Below are 10,769 nucleotides of genomic sequence, written 5' to 3' on the forward strand. Positions count from 1 at the left end.
TCCCCATGGAGCCCAGCAAGCTAAGATTGACAGGCTTGAAATTCTCGCTGCCAGCACAGCAGTCTGAAGTCGACCTGAGACACATGAGCTTGGTGGGAGGGGCACCTGCCATTACTGAGGCTTTTATAGGTGGTTTTCCCCTCGCAGCATAAAGAAAGCTGCCAGAAAGTTCGAACTGGGCGCAGCCCACCACAGCTCCACAAAGCTGCTGTAGCCAGACTGCCTCTCTAGATTTCTCCTCTCCAGGCAGGGTATCTCTGAAAGAAAGGCAATAGCCCCAGTCAGGGGCCTATAGATAAAACTCCCGTCTCCCTGGGACAGAGGACCTGAGGGAAGGGGCAGCTGTGGGCGCAGCTTCAGCAGACTTAAACATTCCTGCCTGCCAGCTCTGAAGAGAGCACTCCCAGCTCCCAGCGCAGCGCTTGAGCTCTGCTAAGGGACAGACTACCTCCTCAAGTGGGTCCCTGACCCCCCTGCCTCCTGAATGGGAGACACCTCCCAGCAGGGGTCGAGAGACACCTCATACAGAAGAGCACTGGCTGGCATCTGGTGGGTGCCCCTCTGGGGATGAAGCTTCCAGAGGAAGGAACAGGTAGCAATCTTTGCTGTTCTGCAGCTTCCACTGGTGATTCCCAGGCAAACAGCGTCTGGAGTGGACCTCCAATAAACTCCAGCAGACCTGCAGCAGAGGGGCCTGACTGTTAGAAGAAAAACTAACAAACAGAAAGAATAGCATCCACATCAACAAAAAGGATGTCCACACAGAAACCCCATCCAAAGTTGACCAACATCAAAGACCAAAGGTAGTTAAATCCACAGAGATGAGGAAAAACCAGTGCAAAAAGGCTGAAAATTCTAAAAACCAGAATGCCTCTTCTTCTCCAAAGGACCGCAACTCCTCGCCAGCAAGGGAACAAAACTGGACAGAGAATGAGTTTGACGAATTGACAGAAGTAGGCTTCAGAAGGTGGTAACAAACTCCTCTGAGCCAAAGGAGCATGTTCTAACCAAATGCAAGGAAGCTAAGAACCTTGAAAAAAGGTTAGAGGGATTGCTAACTAGAATAACCAGTTTAGAGTAGAATATAAATGACCTAATGGAGCTGAAAAGCACAGCATGAGAACTTTGTGAAGCACACACAAGTATCAATAGCCGAATCAAGCAACCAGAAGAAAGGATATCAGAGATTGAAGATCAACTTAATGAAATAAAGCATGTAGACAAGATTAGAGAAAAAAGAATGAAAAGAAATGAACAAAGCCTCCAAGAAATATGGGACTATGTGAAAAGACCAAACCTACGTCTGATTGGTGTACCTGAAAGTGATGGGGAGAATGGAACCAAGTTGGAAAACACTCCTCAGGATATTATCCAGGAGAACTTCCCTAAACTAGCAAGACAGGCCAACATTCAAATTCAGGAAATACAGAGAACACCACAAAGATACTCCTCGTGAAGAGCAACCCCAAGACACGTAATTGTCAGATTCACCAAGGTTAAAAATGAAGGAAAAAATGTTAAGGGCAGCCAGAGAGAAAGGTCAGGTTTCCCACAAAGGCAAGCCCATCAGACTAAAAGCAGATCTCTCTGCAGAAACCCTACAAGCCAGAAGAAAGTGGGGGCCAATATTCAACATTCTTAAATAAAAGAATTTTAAGCCTAGAATTTTATATCCAGCCAAACTAAGCTTCATAAGTGAAAGAAAAATAAAATCCTTTACAAACAAGCAAATGTTGAGATACTGTGTCACCACCAGGCCTGCCTTACAAGAACTTGTGAAGGAAGCACTAAATATGGAAAGGAAAAACCGGTATTAACCACTGGAAAAACATGTAGAGACCAGAGACACTATGAAGAAACTGCATTAAATAAAATTTCAGGCCAATATCCCTGATGAACACCAATGTGAAAATCCTCAATAAAATACTGGCAAACCGAATCCAGCAGCACTTATCCACCATGATGAAGTCAGCTTCATCCCTGGGATGCAAGGCTGGTTCAACATACACAAATCAATAAACGTAATCCATCACATAAACAGAACCAATAACAAAAACCACATGATTATCTCAATAGACACAGAAAAGGCCTTCAATAAATTCAACAACCCTTCATTCTAAAATCTCTCAATAAACTAGGTATTGATGGAATGTATCTCAAAATAATAAGAGCAATTAATGATGAACCCACAGCTAATATACTAAATGGGCAAAAGCTGGAAGCATTCCCTTTGAAAACCAGCACAAGACAAGGATGCCCTCTCTCACCACTCCTATTCAACATAGTATTGGAAGTTCTGGCCAGGGCAATCAGGCAAGAGAAAGAAATAAGGAGTATTCAAATAGGAAGAGGAGAAGTCACATTGTCTTTGTTTGCAGATGACATGATTATATATTTAGAAAACCCCATCGTCTCAGCCCAAAATCTCCTTAAGCTGGTAAGCAACTTCAGCAAAGTCTCAAGATACAAAACCAATGTGCAAAAATCACAAGCATTCCTACACACCAACAATAGACAGAGAGCCAAATCATGAGTGAACTTCCATTCACAACTGCTACAAAGAGAATAAAATATCTAGAAATAAAACTTACAAGGGTTGTGCAGGACCTCTTCAAGAAGAACTACAAACCACTGCTCGAGGAAATAAGTGAGGACATAAACAAATGGAAAAACATTCCATGCTAATGATAGGAAGAATCAATATCGCAAAAGTGGCCATACTGCCCAAAGTAATTTATAGATTCAATGCTATCCCCATCAAGCTACCATTGACTTTCTTCACAGAATTAGAAAAAAGTACTTTAAATTTCATATGGAACCAAAAAAGAGCTCATGTAGCCAAGACAATCCTAAGCAAAAAGAACAAAGCTGGAGGCATCACATTACCTGACTTCAAACTATACTATAAGGCTACATTAACCAAAACAGCACAGTACTGGTACCAAAATAGATATATAGACCAATGGAACAGAACAGAAGTCTCAGAAATAATGCCACATATCTATGTGATCTTTGACAAACCTGACAAAAACAAGCAATGGGAAAAGGATTCCCTATTTAATAAATGGTATTGAGAAAATTCGCCATATGGAAAAAACTGAAACTGGACCCCTTTCTTACACCTTATACAAAAATTAACTCGAGATGGATTAAAGACTTAAACATAAGACTTAAAACCATAAAAATCCTAGAAGAAAACCTAGGCAATACCATTCAGGATGTAAGCATGGGCAAAGACTTCATGACTAAAACACAAAAAGCAATGACAACAAAAGCCAAAATTGACAAATAAGATCTAATTAAACTAAGGAGCTTCTGCACAGCAAAAGAAACTATCATCAGAGTGAACAGGCAATCTACAGAATGGGAGAAAATTTTTGCAATCTATCCTTTTGACAAAGGGCTAATATCCAGAATCTATAAGGAACTTAAATAAATGTACAAAAAAAAAAACCAACGCCATTAAAAAGTGGGCAAAGGATATGAACAGACACTTCTCAAAAGAAGATATTTATGCAGCCAATAAACATATGAAAAAAAGCTCATCATCACTGGTCATTAGAGAAATGCAAATCAAAACCACAATGAGACACTATCTCATGCCAGTTAGAATGGTGATTGCTAAAAAGTCAGGGAACAGCAGATTCTGGAGAGGATGTGGAGAAATAGGAGCGCTTTTACACTCTTGGTGGGAGTGTAAATTAGTTCAACCATTGTGGAAGACAGTGTGGTGATTCCTCAGTGATCTAGAACCAGAAATACCTTTTGACCCAGCAATCCCATTACTGGGTATATGCCCTAGAGATTACAAATCATTCTACTATAAAGACACATGCACACGTATGTTTATTGCAGTACTATTCACAATAGCAAAGACTTGAAACCAACCCAAATGCCCATCAATGATAGACTGGATAAAGAAAATGTGGCATATATACACCATGGAATACTGTGCAGCCATAAAAAGGATAAGTTCATGTCCTTTGCTGGGACATGGATGAAGCAGGAAACCATCATTCTCAGCAAACTAACACAGGAATAGAAAACCAAACACCGCATATTCTCACTCATAAGTGGGAGTTGAACAATGAGACACATTGATACAGGGAGGGGAACATCACACACTGGGGTCGAGGTGGGTAGATCACAAGGTCAAGAAATTGAGACCATCCTGGCGAACATAGTGGAACCCTGTTGTGGGGCTAGGGGAGGGATAGCATTAGGAGAAGTACCTAATGTAGATGATGGTTTGATGGGTGCAGCAAACCACCATGGCACGGGTATACCTATGTAACAAACCTGCACATTCTGTACATGTATTCCAAAACTTAAAGTATAATAATAAAGAAAAAGAAAAAATAGTTGGAAAGAATGAACAAGACCTACTATTTGATAGCACAACTAGTCAATAATAACTTGATTGTATATTATAAAATAACTAAAAGAGTGTAATTGGATTGTTTGTAACATGAAGGATAAATGCTTAAGAGGATGGATACCTCATTCTCCATGATGTGATTATTTCACATAGCATGCCTGTATTAAAACATTTTGGATTGGTCCCATGGTGTAATGGTTAGCACTCTGGGCTTTGAATCCAGCAATCCGAGTTCGAATCTTGGTGGGACCTTTCAAAGGAGTACATTTTGGCCAGGCGCAGTGGCTCACGCCTGTAATCCCAGCACTTTGAGAGGCCGAAGCAGGTGGATCACCTGAGTTCAGGAGTTCGAGACCAGCCTGACCAACATGGAGAAACTTTGTCTCTACTAAAAATACAAAATTAGCCAGCTGTGACAGTGCATGCCTGTAATCCCAGCTAGTTGGGAGGCTGAGTCAGGAGAATCTCTTGAACCCAGGAGGTGGAGGTTGCAGTGAGCCAAGATCGTGCCATTGCACTCCAGCCTGGGCAACAAGAGTGAAACCCCATTAAAAAAAAAAATTTCGGGCCGGGTGCGGTGGCTCACACCTGTAATCCCAGCCCTTTTGGAGGCCAAGGCGGGTGGATCACGAGGTCAAAAGATCAAGACCATCCTGGCCAACATGGTGAAACCCTGTCTCTACTAAAAATAAAAAAATTAGCCTGGCATGGTGGTGGGCGCCTGTAGTCTCAGTTACTTGGGAGGCTGAGGCAGGAGAATCACTTGAACCCAGGAATCGGAGATTGCAGTGAGCCGAGATTGCACCACTGCACTCCAGCCTGGTGACAGAGTGAGACTCCATCTCAAAAAAATAATTAAAAAAAAGTTTCATGTACTCCATAAATGCATACACCTACTATATGCCCATAAAAATAAAAATAATAAAAAACTGGGAAAGTAAAACTGAACACAAATTTAGTAGAAGAAAAGAAATAATAAAGATAAGAGCATAAATACATGAAATTGAAATGAAAAAATACATAAAATATCAACAAAACAGAAGTTGGCTTTTTGAAAAGATAAACAAAATCCACAAACCTTCAGCCAGCCAGATTAAGAAAAAAGAAAGACATCCCAAGTAATAAAAATCACAGATGAAAAAGGAAACAACAACTGATATCACAGAAATTCAAGGAATCATTAGAGACTAACATGAGCAATATGCCAACAAATCGAAACACTTAGAAGAAATGGATATATCCTAGACACATACAACCTACAAAGATTGAACTACGGGAAAATCCAAAATCTGCATAGACCAATGACCGGTACTGAAATTGAAGCTGTAATAAAAATGCTTCCAGCAAACAAAAGCCTAAGACTCGATGGCTTTACTGTTGAATTCTATCAAACATTTAAAGAAGAACTAATACCAATCCAAATCAAACTATTCCAAAAAATAAAGGAGGGAATACTTCCAAACTCATTCTACAAGGCCAGAATTACCCTTATATTAAAACCAGACAAAAACACATAAACAAACAAACAAACAAACAAACTACAGGCCAAACATTGACGCAAAAACATTCAACAAAATACTAGCAAACTGAATTTAACTACACACTCAAAAAATCGTTCATCATGACCAAGTGGGATTCATCCCAGATATGCAAAGATAGTTCAACAAACACTAATCAATCCATGTGATACATCATATCAAGATAATTTAGGAGAAAAATCATATGATCATTTCAATTGATGCTGAAAATGCGTTTGGTAAAATTTGACATCCCTTCATGAAAAAACCTTAAAAAATGGGTATAGATGGAACATATCTCAACTCAATAAAAGCCATATGTGACAGACAGACAGTATCATACTGAACAGGGAAAAACTGAAAGCCTTTGTTTTAAGATGTAGAACAGGACAAGGATGCCCACTTTTACCACTGTTATTCAACATAGTACTGGAAATCCTAGCTAGAGCAACCAGACAAGTGAAAGATATAAAAGGCATCTAAATTGGAAAGGAGTAAGTCCAATTATTCTGTTTGCAGATGATATAATCTTATATTTAGAGAAACTTAAAGACTCCACCAAAAAACTATTTGAACTGATAAAACAATTCAGTAAAGTTGCAGGATATAAAATAAACATACAAAATAAGTAGCATTTCTGTATGCCAACAACAAACAATCTGAAAAAGAAACTAAAAAGTAATTCCATTTACAATAGCTACAAATAAAATTAAGTACCTAGGCAATAACTCAATAAAAGAAGTGAAAGATCTCTACAATTAAATTTATGAATCATTGATGAAAGATATTGCAGAGGACACAAAAAATGAAAAGATATTCCACATTCATGGACTGGAAATCAATATTGTTAAAATCTCTATTCTATCCAAAGCAATCTAAAGATTTAATGTAATTCCTATCAAAATACCAATGACATTATTCACATAAATAGAAAAAATTAATCTAAAATTTATGTGGAACCACAAAAGAATAAGAATATCCAAAACCACCCTGAGCAAAAACTGGAGTAATCACATTACTGGATTTCAAATTATACTACAGAGTTATAGTAACCAAAACAATATGGTCTTAGCATTAAAAACAGACACATAGAACAATGGAACAAAACACAGAATCCAGACATAAATTTATGCATCTACTGTGAACTAATTTTTGACAAAAGTATCAAGAACATGCATTGGGGGAAACGTTTCTTCAATGAATGGTGCTAGGAAAACTGGATATCCACATGCAGAAGAATGACACTAGACCTCCATCTCTCGTTATGTATAAAAATAAAATGAAAAGAGATGAAAGACTTAAATCTAATATCCCACACTATGAAACTACTAAAAGAAAACATTGGGAAAACTCTACAGGGCATTGGCCTGGTTGAATATTTCTGGAGTAATACCCTGACAGCACAATCAAAGCAAAAATGGACAAATGGGATCACCTCAAATTAAAAAGCTTCCAAGTAGCAGAGGAAACAATCAATAAAGTGAAGACAGCCCACAGAATAGGAGAAAATATTTGCAACCTATTCATCTCAGAAAAGATTAATAACCATAATACATAAGGAGCTCAAACAAGTCTATATGAAAAAAATCCAATAACCCGATTAAAAAATGGACAAAAGATTTGAATAGACATTTCTAAAAGAAGATATACAAATGGAAAATGGGCATATGAAAAGGTGCTTAACCTCATTGATCATGAGAGATATGCAAATCAAAACTGCAATAAGATATCATCTTACCCCAGTTACGATGTCTTTTATCCAAAAGCCGGGTAATAGAGAATGCTGGCAAAGATGTGGAGAAAGGGGAACACTCAAATGATGTTGGTAAAAATGTAAATTAGCACAGCCACTATGGACAACAGTATGGAGGTTCCTGAAAAAAAAATTAAAAATAGAACTGCCATATGATCCAGCAATCTCCTTACTGGGCATATACCCAAAAGAAAGGAAATCAGTATATCAAAGAAATATCTGCACTCTCATATTTATTGCAGCACTATTCACAATAGCCAAGATTTGGAAGCAACCTGAGTGTCCATCAGCAGATGAATGAATAGAAAAACAGTATTCCATTGTGCTACCTACACACAATAGAATACTGTTCAGCTCTTAAAGAATAAGATCCTGTCATTTGCAACAACATAGATGGAACTGGAGGACATTAGGTTAAGTTAAATAAGTCAGGCACAGAAAGACAAACTTTGCATGTTCTCACTTATTTGTGGAGCTAAAAATTAAAACAATTGAACTCATGGAAATTGAAAGTAGAATGATGGTTACCAGAGCGTTGGAGGGGTAGTTGCAGGGGAGGATATGGAAATGGAGATGGTTAATGCGTACAAAAATATAGTTAGATACAAAGAATAAGGTCTAATATTTGATAGTACAACAGGTTGACTACAGTTAGCAGTAATTTGTTGTACATTTTGGAATAACTGAAGTAGTAAAATTGGAATGTTTATAACACAAAGAAATAATAAATGCTTGAGGTGACTGAAACCCCGTTTACCCTGATATGATTATTATACAATGTATATCTATATAAAAATGTCATGTATCCTATAAATATATACACATACTGTGTGCTCATAAAATTAAAAATTATTTTTTAACTAAAAAATTTAAAAAACTAATGTATAACAAACAGCACAGCACATTCAAACAAATAGGAAAAAAGTAGAACGAGAAACACAAAAATAATCCATTGATCCAGAAGAAGGCACAAAACACACACACACATGCATGCATACATGCATGCACATACACACAGGAGAAAAAAACTTACTAATACTACAAAATTAAGATCTAGAAATAAATCCAAATATACTATAATCGCAATAAGTATAAATGGCCTTAATTATCTAGTTAAAGTGACAATATCAACTGGACATAAAAAATATACTCAACAGTATGAATTTAAAATATATTCATCTAATGCATTAGAAGACAGGAGGCTTGAGAATAAATGTTTATAGCAAGATATATTAAGCAGATATTAATCAAAGCAAGGTAGTACATCTATATTAATATCAGACAAAATAGACTTCAAGGCAAAAGTATTATAAAAGATAATCTAAAAATCTCAAAAGATTCAATATAGTACATAAAAATAATTTTTTATGGAAGAATGTAAGAATTCTATATTTTTTGTGGCTATCCTAGAAACTGAGAAAGGTAGGAAAATGGATTTTCCCAGAGAGCCTTCAAAAGGAATACCGGCCATGCTGACATCTTTATTCAAGCCTGTATTAATAGGAAAAAGCAGAAAGGCAAACTTTTTTCTCCAACTATACTCTCAACACAGAATACTGGTCATCAAAATCTGTGGGGTTTTCCATACCAAGCAATTCTTCAGCACCAACTGGGTGTTCTGTAATTTAATTCAATCCTGTCACTAACTGAAGTTAGTGCAGACCCTACAGGTTAAGGGCTGAGTCCCTGAAGATTGCCTCCTTCCCAACTTCAAATGCCAACCAATATGCTAGGTTGTTTTAACCTGTGCTTCTGATTGACTGACTATAAATCAGAGGTACCATGACCCCGTCTCAGGTTCAATTATTTGCCAGACTTGCTCAGAGAAGTCTGGGAAATACTTTACTTACATTTACCCTTGTATTATAGAAGCATACAAATAAACAGCTAGATGAAAGATGCAAGAGCAAGATAGGGAGGAAGGAGCCTGGGGCTTCCATGATGCCTCAGGGTGCTCCACCTTCCCAGCACCTTCAGGAGTTCAGCAACCTGGAAACTCCCTGAACCCTGTCCTTTATGGTTTTGTACAGAGGTTTTATTATGTAAACATGATTGACTACATCAGTGGCTATTGGTGATTAATTCAGCCTCCAGCTCCTCTTCTTTCCCCAGAGGTTGAAAAGTGAGGCTGAAAATTGCAAACCTTTCTTCACTAGGTTGGTTCCCCTGACAAGTCCTCATCAGGAGGCTATCCAGGATCACCCAGCTAGTGCCCCGGGATCTAATCAGCATACAAAAAGACACAAATCACTTTAGAGATTTCCAGGGTTTTAGGGGCTATGTGTAAAAAAAAAGGAGGGGTGTGTAGAGATCAAATATATTTTTCTTATTATATTGTATATCACATTTCTTTATTATATATTATAATATCACAAAGTTCCATAAGAATCATTTCAAACTTTTAGCCTCAAGAATTATAACAAATGTATGTTTTAAGCTATTATATTTGTGATAATTAGAGCACCAATAGGAAACTAAAACAAGCAGGTATTTTATTTAAGAAGAAATATTTATAGCTGATTAACATAACATGATGCTCAAGCTTATTAAGAGAAATTAAACTAAAATTATAATATGATAATATTTCATTACCATCAGATTAGGCAAAAATGAAAATTTAATAATGTCAGATTTATGGAGAAGAAATTGATTAATTAGAATTCTCACCCACTTTAGGTGGTATAAATTTTAGGAAAATAGGGGCCATGGGCAGTGGCTCATGTCTGTAATCCCAGCACTTTGGGAGGCTGAGGCGGGTGGATCACCTGAGGTCAGGAGTTCTAGACTAGCCTGACCAACATGGTGAAACCCCATATCTACTAAACACAAAAAATTAGCTGGGCATGGTGGTACATGCCTGTAATCCCAGCTGCTTGGGAGGCTGAGGCAAGAGAATCACTTGAACCTGGGAGGCGGAGGTTGCAGTGAGCTGAGATTTTGCCATTGCACTCCAGCCTGGGCAACAAGAGCGAAACTCCATCTCAATAAATAAATAAATAAATTTTAGGAAAATAGGCATTACCTAATATGTGAGTACACACATAACCTATGACCCAACTATTCCTAGGGATATAGCTGAAAAAAACACTATTTCTCTACACATACAACACTTCCGATAGCA

At 37.6% G+C, this 10,769-nt stretch overlaps 1 non-coding gene across 1 annotated transcript; it reads left to right on the plus strand.

Annotated features, from left to right (window-relative positions):
- Positions 1-4,558: 4,558 nt before the first annotated feature.
- TRQ-TTG4-1 (tRNA-Gln (anticodon TTG) 4-1) lies at positions 4,559-4,630 on the plus strand. Its single transcript has one exon. It is a non-coding gene; the product is annotated as a tRNA-Gln (tRNA).
- Positions 4,631-10,769: the final 6,139 nt, after the last annotated feature.

This window comes from Homo sapiens, chromosome 6, assembly GCF_000001405.40.
Source record: "Homo sapiens chromosome 6, GRCh38.p14 Primary Assembly".
NCBI classification, from domain to species: domain Eukaryota; kingdom Metazoa; phylum Chordata; class Mammalia; order Primates; family Hominidae; genus Homo; species Homo sapiens.